The following is a 20823-nucleotide window of genomic DNA, read 5'->3' on the forward strand; positions in this document are numbered from 1 at the left end:
GGGTGGGCTTGGGAGGCAGGCTGACTTCATGTGCCAGGGATAGGTGGCATGGCCTGTGCCAGGCACGTACCCCCTCCATCTGTAAGTGTCCTGTCCAGTAGGGTTGTTCTGAGGATTCAGAGGCTCAATGTACTTCAGGACTTTAGCATAGTTCCCCTGGCTTATAGGAAGCACTTAAGAAATACTAGCTATTAGCTATTGCTGTTTTTGAATTTAGGAACAGAAAATGGGTCTGGCTCAAAGTTCCATCATCCCTTTCTTCATCTCTGTTGTCACTGATAGGTCAGATAAAGCAGCTGCGCCCCGAACTCATGCATGTCAGTAGCTCTCTGGCCTCAAAATGCATCTCTTTTAAATCTGAGAATAGACTTTTTTTTTTTTTTTTTTGAGACAGAGTCTCGCTCTGACATTTGATGGTTGATTCTTTCTGACTTCAGGGAGTAGAGGTGTATTAGTCCATTCTCACACTGCTATAAAGATACTACCTGAGACTGGGTAATTTATAAAGAAAAGAGGTTAAGTGGACTCACAGGTCCGCATGGCTGGGGAGGCCTCAGGAAACTTACAATCATTGTGGAAGTCGAAGGGGAAGCAAAGCACTTCTTATATGGCAGCAGGAAAGGTAGAGCGTGAGGTGGGAAACACTTTTAAACCATCAGATCTCATGAGAACGCACTTGTTATCACGAGAACAGCATAGGGGAAACTGCCTCCATGATCCAGTCACCTCCCACCAGTTCCCTCGCTAACACATGGGGATTACAGTTGGACATGAGATTTGGGTGGGGACACAGAGCCAAACCATATCAGTAGTTTGCGTGGTAGTGGTCAAGGTAGTGATTTCATTCTTGTTTTCTCCTTCCTTTCTAGTTTTCAATGGTTCCAGCAGGTCAACACGGGAGAAGGAACCTGTTCAAAAACACAAAAGCAAAGAGGCCACTCCCGCAAAGGAGAAGCACAGCGATCACCGGGCTGACAGCCGCCGGGAGCAGGCTTCAGCTAACCACCCCGCAGCGGCCCCCTCCACGGGTTCCTCGGCCAAGGGGCTTGCTGCCACCCATCACCACCCCCCTCTGCATCGGTCGGCTCAGGACTTACGGAAACAGGTAAAGTCCAGCAGGGGTGCCTACATGTGTGCCAGACCCCAGTTTCCCACTTCACTTCACCAAGCTAAAAATTCATCTTCAGAGGGCTCAAGAAGCAGGAGGTGATGCCCAGAAGCAAGACAGGGACAGACAGAGCGCACCTTTGCATGAGCTGCAGGCGCCTGCACCTTTTGTCCTGCGAAGATCCATCAGTTGGATTTGCATTCATCCCTGGGTGCCACTGCATTCACCAAGAAAGTGAACTCACTTTTTTACTTAAGCCTTCTCCCACCCACCCACCCTGGGCTCCAGATGAGCGGTAGAGTGGCAGGGAACATGTTTTTCTCAGGGTAGGTTTTGAAACACACCTGCAAATGGGATAGTTCTGTTAATGGATGATCCTGGTCTACTTTTCTGTTCTTTTTGATGTGACAAGTTAACATTTCACCACCTGGCCTTTGAAGCAGAATATGTGCATGCTGTGTGCACTGCCGAGCAGTCTGTGGAACTGGGTGTGGCTGGGTGGCACCTCTTCCACTGAAGGCATTTGAGTCCCAGGCTGTAGCATCCACAGAGTGTAGGTGGCTGCCACCCTGACCACCTCCTGCCCCTGCCTGTCCTGCGCTGTCCCCCCACCCGCTATCCCCCAACAGGGCCACAGATAATGCCGGTTCTGGTGAGGCAGTTTTGAAGAATCCCTCAGGGCTTGGCCATTATTGCTGTCCAGATGTTCCCATTCCTGGACATTGATTTCTCACAACCCTAGGGATGAGTAGTGGGGATAAGGGCAGGTTCCTGCAGGCACACAGCTGAGGGCTTGTCCCCGGACAGGTGGCATTTCACTGATGCCTCGTGCTCCTGTTCCCCCCTCCATTTTAACATCCGCTAAGTCATGGGATCATTGATGAGCTTTCCTCACAGAGTTAAAAATAGAGGGTTAAAATCTTCCCTAGAAGAGACTGGAGGCTATGATCCTTAAAGGTAGCTTCAGAGGAAGTTGTAGAGGGGACGGAAGAGATTTCCTGGCTGGCAGTGTTGCAGAGTGACTTACATGGTTATTGTGGTGTGAAAATACTCGATTTCGTCTTGCGGTAGAGGTGGCCTTTCTCATTCTTGGTGACGTTGTGGATATTTCTCTCTGAACGTGAACATGTGACTATAGTCACACATAGGCAGACAGGTATGTATGCATGCACATGTGAACCTTTACCTAGCAAATAGTATGCAGTTGGGGGGGTGGGCATGGCAAGAATCACCACATTTACATTTCCACAGTCCACACACACCTAGCACATATTAAACACTGGCCACTGTTGGCCAAAACAGACCTCAGTTTTCCCAGAGACAACAGCCACGGTGTGGAATTGGGCCACACCATGTGCTCACCTGGCGTCTCTTAACCATTGGGCCCCGGATTGTCAGCACTGGAGGCACAAAGCCCAGGGAGGCACCGAGCTTTGGTCCTGGGTCTGTGATTCTTCACTCCCCCGCTGTTCCCAATGCTGTTGGTCTGATGGAGAATTGTACAGAACTCTCCAATGTGTAAGGTTTTTGCTCATGAAAGAGAACAGAATTAGAAGCAACCCAGGGAGAAAGACAGAAAGACAGTGATTACACCATGTGACTGCATCCTGTCTCCTTTCCCAGAATCCTAGAGTAGGGTTAAGTTGTTTTTGTTTATCTTCTATTCATCCCACTATGCTTTTTTGAGTTTTTTTAGTTTACTTGTGGTAAAATTCTCATGGGCCACATCAGAACTGGAGGCCATATCCAGGTGAGCTTCCAGATCTTGCCTTTCTGCCCTGAGAACCCATCCTTGGGATGGCGAGGCAGGAATGAAGGGTGGCAGAGGACCTGAGTCATGTACATGTGACTGTTCATGTTCTCATGCACGGACAGACACGGGTGCGCACATCCTCTTGCACGGTCACGAATAGGGATGCGTGGGATACGCCTGTCATCTCAGCTGGTCAGAGCTCACTCTCAGCACTTGGCCTTCATTCAGTTCAAGGTTTTCATTTGTAAGGGGATGAGAGGAATTAGTACAGTTGGACAGAGGAAAGAGCTGAGGAGGAACAGAAAGTACTGCCTTAGCCTGGGATGGCCCTGCCTGCCCCCATGCTCCATGGCGTGTTCGTGTGACCTGTTCCCTGTGCAGGATCTTAGGTGCAGGAAAGAGGTCCTGGGGTGCCCCTCACACAGCCGGCCTCTGTCCTCTGAGTTAGTGCAGGAGTTTCAGCTGCTTCCGGGGCTCAGGGTAGAGTCCTTGCAGGGAGCGCCATGTGCTCATGCAGGGCATCCTGCAGGTGTTGACGGGGATCCTCTCCTGTCACCCTTTCCCCACTTTCTCCCTCTTCCCTCTCCTCCTCCTTCCCTGTTCCAGTCTAACCAGCCCAGATGGGTTGACCCATGGCTCCAGATTCTAATTTGGCTCTGACTCTGACCTTCAATGAGACTTGAGATGTGATATTTAACCTTCCTGGGCCCTATTATTCCTTTGGAGCCAGTCTGGCCAACTCCTTATACCAGGGACATTGTGAGAAATAAAAGGAAAATTTTCAAACCCTCAGATCCTATTAGTTAAGTACTCTGAAAATAAGGTCAGTAAAAGCAAATTGTAGATTCCCTTGTGACTGCTTGATACAAGTGATTAGACTGTGACCTTTCATCTTTTCAACTGCATGAAAGATATGGGCCCAGAGGATACTCTGATCTTTCATTTCAAATATGATATGTGGATTTTTTTTTGTTATTGTTCAGCTTAAAAGCATAAATGTGACTGTATTGAAATGTGGAGGAATGTAATTTTTAGGGGGTGCTGCCGAGAAGTGCCTTTGCTCTGCTTGCTATAATGAACTGTGTGGGTGCATGCACCTGTCTTCCAAGTCTAAAACCACTTCCCCTCGTGCGAACTGGGCAATGCCATTTGATAGTGTGTGCGATTTATGGAGTCCCTAGAACCCGAGAGTTAGAACACACCAGTGCGTACTTCACCTAAGCCTTTTTCTTGGTGAGAGGGCTCTGGCCCCGGCCGTTTACTCTCGATTATACCAAATGAGCTGTCTTTGTCATGGAATGCACATGCCTGTATAACATTGCATTGTCATGGGGCTGGGAGTGCCCCTGGGTAATAATTTGGTTGTATGGTAAGGGTCTCACCAAGGAGCAAATGGTGTTTTTCTGTTGCTTTCCTGCAGTAGTACTTCTGCTTACATGCAGTGACAGAAAGTAACAAGTTTAGGATAGTCCAACAGACGAGCTTTATTTCTAGCAAGGGTTTTGAAGTATTAGTTTTCCAAGAGAGTCATGAGCAGGTTTTGTACTTGTGTAGAAATTTGTGTGGTTTGTAAGCCAGGATATTGAACCAGATGTGGCCACATGTGATTCTCATTTCTTACGCTGAGGCTGAGTGTGAGAAGAAAATGATCAACTGGCTAATCCCACTGGTTTTGCAGGACCTTCCATTGAGCTATAGGCTACTGTCACTGAAGAGGTTTTCATATGAAAATGTACAAGCCTTGCAGAAAAATCCTGCCCTAGTAAGATTCAGAGAGGGCCAAGGAATTGAGAATATTCTTTTAAAGTTCTGGAAAATACGGCTATTGAGAAGGAAACATAGAAAATCATATTAGTTTTTAAAAAAGTTAAAGGTTTTCTTCTCATGACATTATTTTGTCATTTGAATTGCACTTGCTGGTGGTGGGGTATTTGTGACTCAGTTACATTGCCTTCAGTGGGAGGAGAGGTTATAGGTACATCTAGATTGCCCAGTGGAACCCAGGCATCTCTTTTAGAGCACATTTGCCTTGGCCTTGGCCTTGGCTAGGAGGCTCCTGCCCATCTGCTGCTGCGGTCAGTGTTTGAGCAGGCTGCTCCTCCCCTTCCATAACTCACTGTCTGTCCAGTGCATTTCGCTTCTGTTTAGGCTCTTTGTTTTTGATTCAAGTTTTAAAGTGCAAATGGACTACCCCCAGCCACCAACTGTTTCTCTCTCTGGGCCTCTGGTTCTGTTTTGAAAGGCTGGCAGAGGCCTCGGCTCAACGGCTCCCTCTCGTGGAGAAGAAGAACTTGCCAGTGAATCTGAGGTTGAACTGAGGACAGCGTCATAATCTTGAACGACTAAAACATTTTTGCTTAGTTAACCAAAAACATCAGAGTCATTTCTCATCTTCTGCTCTGCCTTGGAAGTGCATGTTTCTCCTTTTCATCTGTCATCATACTGAGTTGATTTAAATATTGTGTGTGTCGGTGGTGGGGTGGAGAAAAACCCATAAGGATGGAGGGGAGAGATTTTATATTCTTAAAGCAAGCACACAGAGTGTGGATTGGGTACAGTTTTTAAGATGGAATTTCTGTTATTAAGAACAAAGTCAGGTAGGAACGTTTGATGTCCTGGACTTTCATATCTCTCACCTTATATCCCTTCTGCAAGAAGAATGAGGTATTGTTGCCAGTACTCATCTGGCCGAACGTAACTTGAAAATGCTCTCAACCTTGCCTGTTAAATTGAAACCATTCTCTTATGACTAGGAGGGATTGCTTTAATATCTCATGGCCGTGTGCCTGGGATCACCTGAGATACAGGTGACGGATGGCTGTGGGCCAAGGAGCACACGCTGCAGACACCTCACTTTCTGCAGAGCTGGGTTGGGGGCTGGGGGCAATGGGCTGAGAAGCCAGAAATCCACAACAGAGCTGAGAGAAGGAGTAACTTCAAGCACTTATGTATAAAGCTGCTCAGCTGAAATGTATTGTCATTCAATGGAGGGTCCTGCTGTAGCCCACGTCGGCGCTAATTCTTCAGTGAGTTCAGATGACTTCCTGTGTGTGCTCTTCTGTGGAATCCCTCAGGACGTGCAGCGGTGGCCTTCCTTGTAGTGCACTGGCTGCATAACTGGGGCTGTGTGGTTTTAATTGATACAGAGGTGGGTTGAGGGAGACCTTCGGTAACAAGGTAAGACAATGCCTTCCTCCATTCTTCTGTTTCCTTTTGTACTGATTAAGTGTTGGCTCCTTATAGACAAGTCCAGGCCAGGAAAAGGGGTGTCCTTTTGTTAGATTGGTGGGTCCCAGGTTTCCCCACAATGGTGGTGCTGGCTGGGTTGTTGGTTCTGTTTTATTTCTCCCTTTTAGGACACATGGAGCAGCTTAAGGGGCTTCCTATGTTAGCTTTTCAGCTCCCCTGTGGCCTCTCGTGGTGGGCATAGAACACGGACCCTCTGGGTTTCGAGGAGGAAGATGGCCAGTGACACTTGCCTTTTTCAGTCTTCGTAATTGTTTGAACTTCGCTGGTCTGTGTTGTGGGTGAGATCCATCTAGTCTTTGAGCTTGTTATATGGGCATGCGTGTGTGATATCTGGGTGGATACTGTTGAAGATAACTCCTATAATAAGAAGGAAAATATTGCAACTCATTTCTCTCATAAAGCAAGTTATTTGAATGTATACCTTGCCAATAATTCAGTATTTAGGTTTTCAGAAAGATGTAAACAAGGTGTTCCTTTTGCCATTGAAGATAGTGATATATAGAATTCAGCTGTGTTGAAAATTTACTTCCCTGTAGCATTGCTAGCCATGAACTCAGGTGCCCCCGAGAAGCCAGAATGGATGGAACCAAAGGCCTTACACTCTTATTTGAGATAGAATATGAGAGACATAGCACTCTGGTATTTGGACAGCGGTGTTAGGGAAGGGTAGGGTCCACGGATTTGTGGGAACACTGAGACATCTGAGGCTTTTAAACACTGATTCCCTTTCTTGATCCTCACCAATTAGCACAGAATCTAGAGGGAAGGGATTTACATTATTTTGAAGCTCCCCTAAGGGTTTTAGGGGTGCCAGGTTTGGAAAACACTGAACTAAACCTCAGCAAGTAGTGGTGGCTGATGCCTGAACCTCACAGGAGTTGGGTTATGTCCGGCACCATCTGGAGTTTGCCATTTTGATTAGCGATATACGAAGCCGCACTGTGTCCGTCTCCTTAAGGAGACTCTTGTGCTGGGAGTAGGGCTGAAACAGATTGCACCCCTACAGGTTAAAAGGAGATTGAGCCAACTGTAGAGGTGTTGTCTTTTGCTGTCTGAACCTGAGATAGAGCCCTTCCCCAAGGTCCTGGATTCCCTGAGGCCCATTCCCCCACCCCCACCCAGCCCCACCAGCCTTTGTTGCTGGAAATAAAGATCAGCCCCAGCTGGAGTTTACTGTTTGCTTTTGTTTTTCTAAATGTTTTGTCTTGTTTTGGTTTTAGTGGAAGCATTTGAAAGAACAATTAAAACTAAGAGATTTGCATTCCTCACTATACCTCCTCTTGCAGATTAACAGTACTTACCACGGAATATTTCTGTTTGTCCTTACCCCTGGTTTTATAAATCTGTTTTAAATTTATCATTGCCAGGTGCTTTTTTTCCTCTCCAAAAGGGTTTCGCATTATTTATTCCAGACCGTCTGTCAGTCCCACTTTTTTTATGGGTGACTCATGGTTTAAGAGCCAGAGTGTGATTCCTGGGTCTTCGCTTCTGCCTCTTCATGGGGCCTGAGATCTGGCTCTAGGAATGAGGCCTCCATGGGCCTGGCTCCTAAGAGATGATGTCCTACCAAGAATTTGTGGCTTTGATTGGACTGCACTTAATTGGTGGCATATAGAGAAATACAGGTCTCAGTGGCTTCTTTCCTTTTTGATTTTTATAAACTTCACTGATACTTCATTCAGTGGTTCCAAGCGCGGTCCCCAGGTCAGCACACAGCATCACCTGGGACTTGGTTAGAAATGCACATTCTCAGTCCCATCCCAGACCCTCTGACTTGGACACTCTGCCGGTAGGGCCCAGTGATGTGTTTACATCAGCCCTCTAGGGGATGCTGAGAGCCACTGGTTTGGATGTTTTTGGCAAGTCTTTTTTTTTTTTTTTTTTTTGAGACAAGAGTCTCGCCCAGGCTGGAGTGCAGTGGCATGATCTCGGTTCACTGCAAACTCCACCTCCTGGGTTCACGCCGTTCTTCTGCCTCAGCCTCCCAAGTAGCTGGGACTACAGGCGCACACCGCCACACCCAGCTAATTTTTTGTATTTTTAGTAGAGACGGGGTTTCACCGTGTTAGCCAGTATGGTGTCAATCTCCTGACCTTGTGATCCACCCGCCTCGGCCTCCCAAAGTGCTGGGATTACAGGCGCCTTTGGGAAGTTTCATTCCATGCCCCACCCCCACTTAAGGGGGGTCCTGGGCCAGGCCTAGGTTTAGTACAAAGGTCACTAAGACTCATTACCCGCCATCTGGGGACCTTCGTCCCCATGTGACAGCAGCCTGCACAGCCTTGTGGTGGCACTGGTGTTTCAGTACCCTCTGGGCCATCACTGCATGTGGCCAGCTCTCCTGACCAGGAAGTGCAGGCTCCCCCGACCCTGGCACCTTCCTCTCGGGCTGTTGGGGAGAAGAGGGGGCTAGTATTCTGTGTTTCTCAGTAATTTTGTGATTTTTAGGCTTCTTCCTTTGGAGATGGTGGTGGTTATAAAACCCTGAAGTCCCTGACTTTAACCTCATATCATAGACGAAAAGTAATGCCCAAGGTGTTAAGTGATGGGGCAGTGGCCACATTGTGACGCAGAGAAGACATCTTCTCGAAACCAGCATGTCTGGCAGCAGCCCATTGGGGTCCCTTCATTATTCTTGTTTGAAGCTTGTGCATTTCTAGTGTCTGCCATTGTCGCTCCCCATTTTCGCTGACGTTTGTGTGTCCCAAGATTACCACGGCGTCCAAGCTGTAAGACTGTCTCTGTTTGCCCAGGTCCCATAGAACCTGATGGGAAAGTTTGTCCAGGGTGGAAGATACATGGGACAGTTTGTAAACGGTGGGAAAATATAGGAAGCGCGTGTGCAGACGAGGGTTGGCATGTGTTGCTTCAACAGTGAGGTCGGGGCATCCCTCTTCCATCCAGCCTGGCCCTGTCCAGGGCTCGTCTCCACAAGGAAAGCAGACAGCAGCTGCTGACAGTTTGCAGCCACACCTCTGGGCCTGGCCTGCCACCCGGAGCCAAACCACATGAGCACTGCTGTTCTTTTGCTTCCATAGTATTTTTGTTTTCCTTCTTTTTTTAGCCATAGATTTCTAAATCCTGTGGGCAGGTCATGCTGCTATGTGGAGCACAGAAATAGCAGACATGACTTTTCTTGGAACAGGGATATGTGTGTGTGTCTGTCTCCACTTCCCCCAAGGAAGCAGGATCTTGCTGTCATCAACTCTGAGAAGCTCAGGACAGGTGATTGCATGGCACGTGGGGAGGTCTTCATTGTGAAACACCAAATTTCCTGGAAGAGCAATGGGAACGTGAAAATGCACCCAGGAAACCCCGCTAGGAAGCGCCTGGGGCAGTTTGCATACTTCTGTGACGAAGGATAGGTATATAGTGGATTCTGAAAGTGGACATCGCTGCTTAATTCTTGGATGTGTATTTTGCTTCTCTTTGCTGGTATTTCCACATCTCTTCTTATCACACTACAGGCTGCTGGCTCTGTTCATCCCCAGCATCCAGGGTCCTTTCTCACGGGTGGGCCGGTCATTTTAGTGGCAGGTACTAATTCTGCGTTTTTTTCCACCTCTGCTTCTGCTGCTCCACAGGTTTCTAAGGTAAACGGAGTCACTCGAATGTCATCTCTGGGTGCAGGTGTAACCAGTGCCAAAAAGATGCGCGAGGTCAGACCTTCACCATCCAAAACTGTGAAGTACACTGCCACGGTGACGAAGGGGGCTGTCACATACACCAAAGCCAAGAGAGAACTGGTCAAGGACACCAAACCCAATCACCACAAGCCCAGTTCCGCTGTCAACCACACAATCTCAGGGAAAACTGAAAGTAGCAATGCAAAAACCCGCAAACAGGTGCTATCCCTCGGGGGGGCGTCCAAGTCCACTGGGCCCGCCGTCAATGGCCTCAAGGTCAGTGGCAGGTTGAACCCAAAGTCATGCACTAAGGAGGTGGGGGGGCGGCAGCTGCGGGAGGGCCTGCAGCTGCGGGAGGGGCTGCGGAACTCCAAGAGGAGACTGGAAGAGGCACACCAGGCGGAGAAGCCGCAGTCGCCCCCCAAGAAGATGAAAGGGGCGGCTGGCCCCGCCGAAGGCCCTGGCAAGAAGGCCCCGGCCGAGAGAGGTCTGCTGAACGGACACGTGAAGAAGGAAGTGCCGGAGCGCAGTCTGGAGAGGAATCGGCCGAAGCGGGCCACGGCCGGGAAGAGCACGCCAGGCAGACAAGCACATGGCAAGGCGGACAGCGCCTCCTGTGAAAATCGTTCTACCTCGCAACCGGAGTCCGTGCACAAGCCGCAGGACTCGGGCAAGGCCGAGAAGGGCGGCGGCAAGGCCGGGTGGGCGGCCATGGACGAGATCCCCGTCCTCAGGCCCTCCGCCAAGGAGTTCCACGATCCGCTCATCTACATCGAGTCGGTCCGCGCTCAGGTGGAGAAGTTCGGGATGTGCAGGGTGATCCCCCCTCCGGACTGGCGGCCCGAGTGCAAGCTCAACGATGAGATGCGGTTTGTCACGCAGATTCAGCACATCCACAAGCTGGGCCGGCGCTGGGGCCCCAACGTGCAGCGGCTGGCCTGCATCAAGAAGCACCTCAAATCTCAGGGCATCACCATGGACGAGCTCCCGCTCATAGGTAGGTCTGGGCGGGGGGTCAGGGGGTGGTGCCTGCCCTCCTGCCCCCAGATCCCTGCAGTTCCCTCACAGTCTTCACGTTCTCTTCCCTTGCGAAAGCTCCAGTTCCGCTTCCCTGTCTCGGGAGTAGTGGGCTTCTCAGCTCATTCCCCCTGCAGCCCTTCTTCCCAGGTCCTGGGCGTTGGTGGCAGGATAAGAATGGTATTGAGCTGCCGGGCGCGGTGGCTCACGCTTGTAATCCCAGCACTTTGGGAGGCTGAGGCGGGCAGATCATGAGGTCAGGAGATCGAGATCACGGTGAAACCCCGTCTCTACTAAAAATACAAAAAAATTAGCCGGGCGTGGTGGCGGGGGCCTGTAGTCCCAGCTACTTGGAGAGGCTGAGGCAGGAGAATGGCGTGAACCCAGGAGGCGGAGCTTGCAGTGAGCCGAGATCACACCACTGCACTCCAGCCTGGGTGACAGAGTGAGATTCCGTCTCAAAAAAAAAAAAAAAGTATTGAGCTTGGATCTGGGGTGAGCCCCCACTCTGGGTCTGGGCCCCTTGCTTCCCCTGGGCTGTCACCTCCTACCCACAACTGCTGGAGTTAAAGCAGGGGCCGGGGGGCCAGTGGGGAGCGCTGCCCCTCTGGATTCCACACTGGATTATAGAGGCTGGAAGCCCAAGGTCTAGGGGCCAGCAGGGTTGGTTTCTCCCGAAACCAACAAGACCTCCCTCCTTGGCTTGTGCATGGCTGTTTTCTCCCTGTGTCCTCACAGGGTCCTACCTCTATGTGTGTCTGTGTCTTCATCTCCTCTCCTTAGAAGGACATTGGATTAGGGCCCATCCTACTGACCTCTTTCTAACATAATTACCCTTTTGAAGACCCTGTCTCCAAATTCATTCATGTCCTGAGGTACTGGAGGTCAGGGCTTCAACATATGAATTTGGAGGGATCACCATGCAGCCCATAGCCCTCTAGGGTCCTGTAGGCCATTTTTTATCCTGCTCAGCCTTGTCTCTTCTTCCTCTGAGCTTCAGTTTCTCTGGCGATTTTGTCAAGGCCACAGGTCAAGGGATCTGTTGACCTTTTTTCTGAGACCAGGTTTTTTCTGAGACCTTTTTTCTGAGCTCTGGCTGGGGCTGTTGGAAACTTGTCACAGTGGATCCTTAGTGAATGCATATCTGGGCTGTCATGCAGACCCTTGCTCCTCAGGGTGGGTTGCAGGCAGATCCTCCTCTTGGGTTCCCCTGTAGCCCTCCTTCCCTGTCATCCTCTCTTCAGTCCTGCCACTGGGGACACAGGGTGAGGATGAACTTGCCTTGTTAAGGCTAAGTGGATTCTGTGGAGTGAGGTGCATCCAGGTAAGGTTGCAACCCCATCAGTCTAGACCCATGGGAGGAAACAGGCCACACCTCCATTTTGGAGATCCTCAATTTTCAAAGGCATGGAGACGTGTAGCCATCATTTAAGTGTCAGGGATTTGGCAGCAAGATAGGCTTCCAGGCAGGATGGAGGTTTCGTGGTTCCCCTCAGCAGGTGCCTGCCAGGACTGATGCCTGAGTGACAGTCACCTTAACTTGCAAGAGTTCTTGGTTTGTGCTCTGCTGTTGGGAATAGCACGTGATAGGAAGCAGTGCAGGGAGCAGGCTCTGCACACGCGTGCACCCACGCCCGCTGACCACGCCCCATGACTACTTGGGACACAGGATGACTGAGTCAGTGATGGAACCGCACCAAGTCCTCCTGCCTTTGGAGACCTGCAGACAGGAGGGAAACATTCCAAGTTTCCCTCCTCTGCTAGGTGGATGATGGAGCCTCGAGAGCACACTTGACATCGTAGTGACAGCGCCTTTTGTTTAGAGTAGGTTTTTCTTTACCCTCGACTCCCTTACCCTGGGACAAAAGCCATACTGTGCCTCCCTGTGGTGTGCTTATGCTTGTTGCCGTCACCCAGAAGTCTAAGGCGTCTGACATTCTGTCCCAGGGGTACTGACCTGTCTGTGACCCAGCAAGGCCTCAGGGCTGGGGTCTGAGCTCAGCCATCTGACAGTGGTAGAAACTTAATAACTTTGAAGTAATAGCCTAAAATCCACCCCAGCAGATGTGCCTTCTGCCTCTGTGTAGGTTCACTTCCACCGCAGGTCCCAGGGAGCCGCCGTGCCGCTGGCGGGAGTTGGGTGGGGAAGGGGCTCGGCCACGTAGCAGCCTCAAGGCCCTGAGTGGGAGTGATCGCAGCGGATGAGGATTCCATGAAGAATTCTTGCAAGCGCTGTGTGATTTTCAGGTGCTCTTGCGTTATAATCTACTTAGAGTGAAATATGAAAGTGTGGATTTCCTCCCTTCTGTGACCTGTGTTCTGAGTCACTCGGACGGTGGAGGACTTGTTTTGGTTGGGGGACTCGTTTTGGTGCCTACCTCTGTAAGTTGAGACAGTACCCACCTGCCCTCGGAGGAAGAACTCCCGATTGTCAGCCAGAGCCACCGTGAGTCCCACCTGTGACTCTGGGAGTCTGTGAGACCTGGAGTTTGTTGTGGAGTCTCAGTTCTTAGGTCCCTCCTGTCGAGGCTGGGGACAGTTCCCTCATGGATGTTACCCCAACTCCCCTGTTCTCCACAACCACATCAGTCCACTGTCCTGCCATTTAGTGTGAGTGGAATTCAGGCTGCTGTGTCCCCATCCCTGGTCTTGCTGGTGTGCTGGGAACTCGCTCTCTGTGTGTGCTGTGTCTGCCGAGGTGGTTCAGACGCTTCACCTAGTGGGTCCTGTCATGCTTGGTATGTGCAGCGACCCTGCCTGGACTGGATCCGTGCACACTTTACCTTTTATTACTTAAAAACAATATATCCCCACACTCTAAAGATTTAAAACGTTGTTAATTTGTACTTTGTTTAGTATTTTGTTGATGGTTATTTTGGAAAATCTCCCCTACCCCCCTTCCTTTATTTGGCCCGAGGGAGGTTGCTTTCTCCATTCCCATCTAGAAAAGCCACTGGGCGCGCGTTAAAACCTGCCCAGGTTTGATGTGCATTTGCGCTGCTCTGTGGCCTGATCAGGAGGGGCACTGAGCACCAGCTTATGCACTGAGAAGCAGCCCGCTGTCTGGATGGGCGAGGGACGAGGCATAGATGTGCTGCCCTGTGTCCTCACGCAGGTGTTGCTCTTTGCTCTGGAAATCCAGCAGGATGGAAAATAGACTTCCTTTGTGTGAGTGAGTGGGTGGATGGGTGAAGTTGAGTGAGTGAGTGGGTGGGCATTGGGAATTATAGAAGGGGAATTGGGAGTTGGTAACAAGCATGTGTCAAAGCTATTCTAGGTGACGCTGGGCCGTGGGTGCAGCCAGGACCCCTACCCACTCCTCACCAGGGAGCTAGTCTTCTCATGACACCCGCCTCCATGTGACAACACATGTACCAGTACATGGTACACTGGGATGTTCCTCCCTGTATGTCTGTCTGGCCAGCTCGCATCCTTTTCCAGCCAAGCCCCAGCTTAAATGCTGCCTCCTCAGACGCTCCCCACCTAAAATGGTAGTCCCTCGTTCCACCTGCTCTTCGTAGCAAGTGGTCATGACCCATCATTTTGTAACGCCCTTCTCTCTGTGGACCGGGAGTCTGCTGTTCACCACTCTCACCCCAGAGCCTGTCAGAGTCCTGGCTCATAGTAGGAGTTCAAGAAGTACAGGTTGAATGAGGAACATCTTGTTCGTGTCTCTTTCACTAACTGTCCCGTTTTTTTCCCCTTCGCTGTCCCAGGGGGCTGTGAGCTCGACCTGGCCTGCTTTTTCCGGCTGATTAATGAGATGGGCGGCATGCAGCAAGTGACTGACCTCAAAAAATGGAACAAACTAGCAGACATGCTGCGCATCCCCAGAACTGCCCAGGACCGGCTGGCCAAGCTGCAGGAGGCCTACTGCCAGTACCTACTCTCCTACGACTCCCTGTCCCCAGAGGAGCACCGGCGGCTGGAGAAGGAGGTGCTGATGGAGAAGGAGATCCTGGAGAAGCGCAAGGGGCCGCTGGAAGGCCACACAGAGAACGACCACCACAAGTTCCACCCTCTGCCCCGCTTCGAGCCCAAGAATGGGCTCATCCACGGCGTGGCCCCCAGGAACGGCTTCCGCAGCAAGCTCAAGGAGGTGGGCCAGGCCCAGTTGAAGACTGGCCGGCGGCGACTCTTCGCTCAGGAAAAAGAAGTGGTCAAGGAAGAGGAGGAGGACAAAGGCGTCCTCAATGACTTCCACAAGTGCATCTATAAGGTAGGGGCCTCCGCAGAGCAGCCACTCCCAGCTGCAGGAGTGCGGGAGGAATGAGAGAGGAAGTGGAGCGTGCTATGCACTGGACGGTGTGTTCTCTGATTCCCTGGGGTGATGAGGGGGCGGGCCACTGTGCTGGGTGATAGCGCTGTATTAGTCCTCTCGTGTTGCTGAAATACTACAGACTGGGGAATTCATAATAAACAGAAATGTACTGGCTCCTGGTTGTGGAGCCTGGGAAGTCCAATATCGAGGAACCTAGTGAGGGCCTTGTGGGTGCGTTGATGGGGCAGCAGGAGACCCAGTGAGGGAGGGGAAGTCCACTCCACGAAGATACCACGAGTCCATTCCGCCTGCCTAGGGCCTCGGGTTTCCTTTTCATTAACTGGCTTGCGTGTGCGTGTTGCATGCACGTGCACACATCTCCATATGCCAGGGATAAGTAACTGGGCTGCATGCTTCGTTTCCCCTGCTTCTCCAGTTCCGTTTCATCCTGGTGCTCGACAGCTGCCCAGATCCAGCTGAACTTCTCACTGGCTGGACCGTCAGTGGACTCTGTGCGCTTGTTTTCTCTGTTTTCTATCCGCTCACCTCACTGCCAGCCCAGCGTTGCCAGGTCCTCTCTGTGGAGAGCTATCCCTGATAAAGCCATCAAAATGAATCTCACCATTCACACGCTGTGGAGGGAAGAGCTGGGGAGAAACCAGCAAACTGAAACATGCAGCGTTTCCCTGTCTCCGCCAGGTCTCCCGGCAGCACACTCATCCTGAGGAGACTCGCCCCTCCAAGAAGCAGGGGAGGCAGAGTCCGTGGCTCTCCTCTTGGCAGCTCTCCCAGCTGTCCTGGCTCTGAAGCAAGGCTTGGGGTTTCCTCCCTTCTCCAGCCTGCCAGTGGGTAGCGGGGCACCCGGGGCCCAGCTGGCCGAGCTCAGCTAAGTTGAAGTCTCTGCTGAGTTTCCCGGCACAGACTTGTCCTCTGTGGTCCCAGTTCTGGATTCACTGGAAGGGAAGCGTTCTCTGCTCCAGCCCTCGTGAGCCTGGTGGGAGTGTGTGGCTAGTGGGTTTCGGCAGCATTGGGAATTGGCTGTTGGTTATCACTAAACACCACCATACCCTCAGGTGCCCACGGCTGCCTGACTGCAGGCTCTGGCCTGGCCTTGTAGTTGAGGCAATGCGGGCTTCTGATACCATCACACATCTTAGAAATACGGAGGAAGGGTTGACTTGACTCCTGGCGTTGCTGCTTCACTTTAAGTCCAGGCCCTGCAGACCCGCCTCAGGCTGCATCTCATGTCCTTGCACACTTCTCTGGAAAGAGGTACCCAGTTTTTCTGGCCTGAGACCCTGAGAGGGTTTGGCTCCCTTTTATCTGAGTCTGCTCTCCCATTGCCCAAGGCTGCCTGGTGGGGATGCGGTGTGGGGGTTGCTGGATGCAGCCTGCCAAGTGTGACCCAGAGACTGTAAGCTCTGAGGAACTTTATTTGGTGTTTCCTGAATGTTTTACTGAGAAGCCTTTGTCAAGTAAAGCCACTCAGTGAATCCTGTGACTGAATAGCCAACTGGTGAAATGAGAAACTGTCAACGTTTTTACTTTTTACTGAAGGAGGCCAATTCTGTGAGCGTATGTTTGATTCAAATAAGAGGTTTGGATTTGTTTAAATCCACCCCGTCAAGGGTATTTCTAGATTTCATCACGGAAATATAGTGGAGCTCTGCGTGGTGGCCATGGCGAAGCCCCCAGCAGCCGTGTGCCCACGGGTAGGGACCGTGAGCACGCAACTCTCTGTGGCACCGGTGTCCTGGCTGCTGACTTTGGTCTGCTGGTGTCATCCTCACCTCCACTCATTGCACTCTGCCTTGGTGCAGAATTCAGTCCCTCCTTTTTTATATTTACAAGAAACAGACTATCAGGAGCGGCTTGGAATTTGCATGGAAGTACGTTCCTGTAGTTAGAACCCCATCTAGTTCCTTTGCTGCAGGAGAGAAAGGCACAAGCCAATGTCTCCATGCCGACTACGACTGTGGACCCAATGGCAGAAAGCATCTGCTGCTCCCTGTTGTGGCCCTATCACTTCTAGGGGGACGCTGCGGTGTCCAGTGCTCCGCAGGGAAGCCTTCCCTGACCACCCTCCCCCACTCTACATGACACCTGGCACCTCCTCCCATCCCATATTTGTGTGTTTGAGGCCTGTGTCTTCCCCAGACTGAATGGAAGCTCCTCGAGGTTTTGTGTGTTTCATGCACTGCTCTGTCTCCAGCCCCTAGGATTTGACCTAGTACACCATAGGTGCTCAGGAGATATTTCTGGACTCAAGCAACAAATGTGCCCGGTCAAGTAAGAAAGAAATAGCAAGGGTCTTAGATGGATTCCCTCTGAAAAACGCACCACATTTCGTGTGGTAGGTAAAAGAAGGTGCTGACTCCGGATTCCCAAACTGACTCAGCTGTTTTATCAAAGCAAGCAAATCATTCTGGAAGTTATTGGGAACAGGGCAACAGAGGGGCATCGAAGAAGAGGCGCAGAGGGGACAGCAGGTGGTTCTGTGGAGAGAAGGCGACCAGGTCGCAACCTCAGTGAAGGCTGCTGCCCTGGCAGGTGTTAATATGGCAAGGACTCTCAGGGTGTAGATGTCGCACCAGTTTCTGTCTCTCCAGCTTCTCTCCTGTGGGATCCCTGGTCACGAGTTCCATCAGGTCATAGCTGCTGATAGCTTCTCCGCTGGCCCGCAGCAGCCTTTGTCAGCTGAGGGATTCTGCCTCCAGCACAAGCTGCTTTTTCAGCAGAGCCTTGGAGGGGCCTTCCGCGCTTCTGCTGTGCGTCCGCTCAGGGCCTCTGGGCGGCAGCCTCTGTTCCTGGCAGAACAATTTGGCCCTCATGGGGTTGATCCTTGGTGGAGTCTTCCCACTCCTCTTGGCACTGCGGGTTCTTAGAGAATATATTTCTTCCTTCTCTGCCTGTCATTAACTCAGAATACAAGGTGGCCCACAGCCGCAGGGACGCCAAGGGGCAGCGGCCCATGACAGGTGTCTGGCCTCATTTGCAGTAGGGTTCAGCTTTGCTTCTGAAGCTTTACTGTTTTTTGTTTTGTTTCAGGGAAGGTCTGTTTCTCTAACAACTTTTTATCGAACAGCGAGGAATATCATGAGCATGTGTTTCAGCAAGGAGCCTGCCCCAGCCGAAATCGAGGTGAGAGAAGGGGCCCCTCACGCTGCCTCTCATGGTGTGGGAACCCCTCGGCGAGCTGGAGGACATCCTGTCCTGCCCTGACCCCTGCAGCTCGGTGAACGGAAAGGACTCAGATGGGGCTGAGTTCGTCCTCTGTGTTGAGCGTGCACCAGGGCAGCCAAATGTTTTAACTTAGGTTGATCTAAACTTGTTCACAAGCCAAAAACACTATAATGAAGGTGGGGAGCTGCCGAGTGCAGGGGACGGGTTCTGGGCACGTCCCCTGCTCCCCGTCACTGTCTCCTCCTGCTTGCTCACCCGGCTGTTTCTCACCCCATCCTCTGTGTGTCTGTTATGCAAGAGAATGTTTGGAATCCCTTGAAACCACAGTTGTGCTTTTTCTTCTCTTCTATTTTTTATTTAATGGGATTGGCAGATTGCCATTTTTGTGCTTCTGCCAACTCTCTTCTTTGAGTTAGTATGAGGTTGGAAAGACAGTGAGCACTTCTGTGCCCAGACCAATTAGGGGGAGTTTTTGTGTGCGGCGCTGCAGGACAGAGACCGGATCTGTTTATTTACCTCCCCTCGGCCAGTGCCCAGCTGAGTCCGTGTGAACTTCCAGCTGCTGACGTCGGTGGGCTCTCAGCAGCGCTTGGTCGTGGAAAGGGAAAGAAACCAAACCCGGACTGCTGGTTCAGGGCAGCTGCCGGCCGGGGAACAGGAGGTATTTGCTGACCACAGCCTCATCTTTTAGTGTGTGACAGGCTTTTGCTGTGTTTTTTTTTTTTTTTTTTCCCCTTAATGCCACCTGTTTCAAATAAAATCCAAGGTCGGTTTGCCCCGTGTATACATGCTGACCACTGGGGGTTCAGGTATCTTGTTTTGCCCAGGTTTTAGACCTGTGACCTTCAAACCTGCTCAAACCAGGACAGCTGGTCACCCTCCCTGGGTGGCGTTTGGTGCCCCACCTCCTGATAGCAATTGTCAGAGCTTAGGATGTCCAGCCCTGTGGCCCACCCCTCCCTTCCTAGTGTGGGGAATAGAGGTTTACCTTTCACGCCATTTTCATCGTCTTAGGACCTAGGTCTCTGCTTACGTGCAGGGGCTGCCTACACTGTGTACCCTGGGTGCGGCTGTTGAATGCCACGCAGTGGCCTGACACCCGGCCTGTGGTCATGATTACCGTGCTGCAGCCGCCACTGCCTCACCCACCACCAGCCACGATGTCAGCTGAACCGTGGTCTAGGACACGTGTGGCTTCCGCAGCTGCTTCCAGAGCACGCGTTGCGTTTGTGGTAGAGATGTCAGGCGGAGGACACTTGGCTTTCTGGGGCTGAGCGTTGGACCTGGGAAGAGGCCTTTATTGCCAAACAACACGTGTCCTGTGGGCATCTCCCCAGAGGTGCAGAAGTTTATTATCCATGATGCGCAAGAAAACTTAGCTCATTTTACAGCCTCTTATTCAGGAATTAATTCCCTCTGAAAGTCTGGATTTTGCTCTAGCAGTTGTGTAAATATTTAAACACAAAGGGGAGATTTGCTAGAATTTAAACTTCAGGCCTGGATTGCCTAGCTTCTTGTGCTCTGTATTCCAAAAAAGGCTGGTGGACAGCCCCTGGAGTTGGCCACCACCTGGGAGCAGTCCCTTGCTTCCCTTCCCATGTCTTTACAGGCGCACCAGACGCTGGTTGCCCTCAGTTTCAGCAAATACGCAGCAGGCTTGGGCACTCAGGGAGTCTGTTGAGGGAATCCAGTCATTTAATGTGGAATTCGTTCTTGATTTGTGGAGCTTGACTCCGCCAGGTCGGCCCCCTCTTTGTGGAAGTCACACAGCATTGAGGAAAGTGGTTTTGGTGTTGCTAGTAGCGCTTTGTGGAGCTTAACTGGACCCTATGATGCTGGGGGCTTATGAGTTAGGCTTCTTCCCTAAATGTGGTTCCAGCTTTACCAAGGCTTGTGAGACGAGGGAAGAGGACTTAGTGCTTCTGGAGTGATCACTGAGAACAAAGTGGAAGGTGACTGCGTGGGGAGGCTTGTCTCAAGGGAGCCTGGGCACCGCTGCTTGCCTGTAGTCAAAGCATGTTCTGACCCATTCTTTGCCCCCATATTTGTTTAGATGGGACATATTAAAAGTCACTTCGGAAGCTTTATATAATTGGCGGTTACCGTGCTTAGCATAATGTCCTCCAGGTTCATCTATGTTGTAGCATGTGTCAGAACTGACATCCTTTTACAAGTTGAGTAATAGGCCATGGTATGGACGGAGTAGATTTTGTTCATCCATCTGTGGATGGGATACTTTGGTGGCTTCACCTTTTGGCTGTTGGGAATAACACTGCATAACATGGGTGAGACCCTGCTTTCTGGCATTCTGAGGATATGCCTGGAGGTGACCTGTCATTGCTTTCTGCATTAGCGTCCTGCTGGAGACACTCTGCAAAGAGAGCGTCTGTTCTGAGGGGTGTGTGCACCAGGCATTCGTGTCCCAGTTTTGTTGGGTTGAACTGTGCTCTGTGGCTGCAGCACCTTAGGGGTGCTGACCAGCCCTTTCCTGTTCCCTGCAGCAAGAGTACTGGAGGCTAGTGGAAGAGAAGGACTGCCACGTGGCAGTGCACTGCGGCAAGGTGGACACCAACACTCACGGCAGTGGATTCCCAGTAGGAAAATCAGAACCCTTTTCGAGGTAACC

The 20823-nt window shown here is 51.3% G+C and overlaps 1 protein-coding gene across 21 annotated transcripts in view, besides 1 other annotated feature; it reads left to right on the forward strand.

Moving 5' to 3' along the window:
- JARID2 (jumonji and AT-rich interaction domain containing 2) overlaps positions 1-20823 on the forward strand; it is a 275974-nt gene that overhangs the window by 240369 nt on the left and 14782 nt on the right. For 20 of the 21 annotated variants that reach the window (XM_011514579.4, XM_017010833.3, XM_047418735.1 and 17 more), the window contains 5 exons: positions 870-1105; positions 9695-10733; positions 14470-14972; positions 18063-18155; positions 20699-20817. In XM_011514579.4, the coding sequence (XP_011512881.1) occupies positions 870-1105; positions 9695-10733; positions 14470-14972; positions 18063-18155; positions 20699-20817 (1990 nt within the window). Of the gene's footprint in view, positions 1-869; positions 9476-9694; positions 10734-14469; positions 14973-18062; positions 18156-20698; positions 20818-20823 lie in introns of those variants that run through there. The other variant, XM_047418747.1, reaches the window with a different exon arrangement.
- Positions 5253-5754: an enhancer, noted in NCBI's record as "NANOG-H3K4me1 hESC enhancer chr6:15491921-15492422 (GRCh37/hg19 assembly coordinates)". NCBI's record gives its function as "activates a minimal SCP1, AML or CMV promoter by ChIP-STARR-seq in naive H9 embryonic stem cells {active_cell/tissue: H9 hESC(naive)}" and the evidence as "EXISTENCE:reporter gene assay evidence [ECO:0000049][PMID:30033119]".

The sequence above is a fragment of the Homo sapiens genome, chromosome 6 (genome assembly GCF_000001405.40).
Source record: "Homo sapiens chromosome 6, GRCh38.p14 Primary Assembly".
Lineage (NCBI taxonomy): Eukaryota > Metazoa > Chordata > Mammalia > Primates > Hominidae > Homo > Homo sapiens.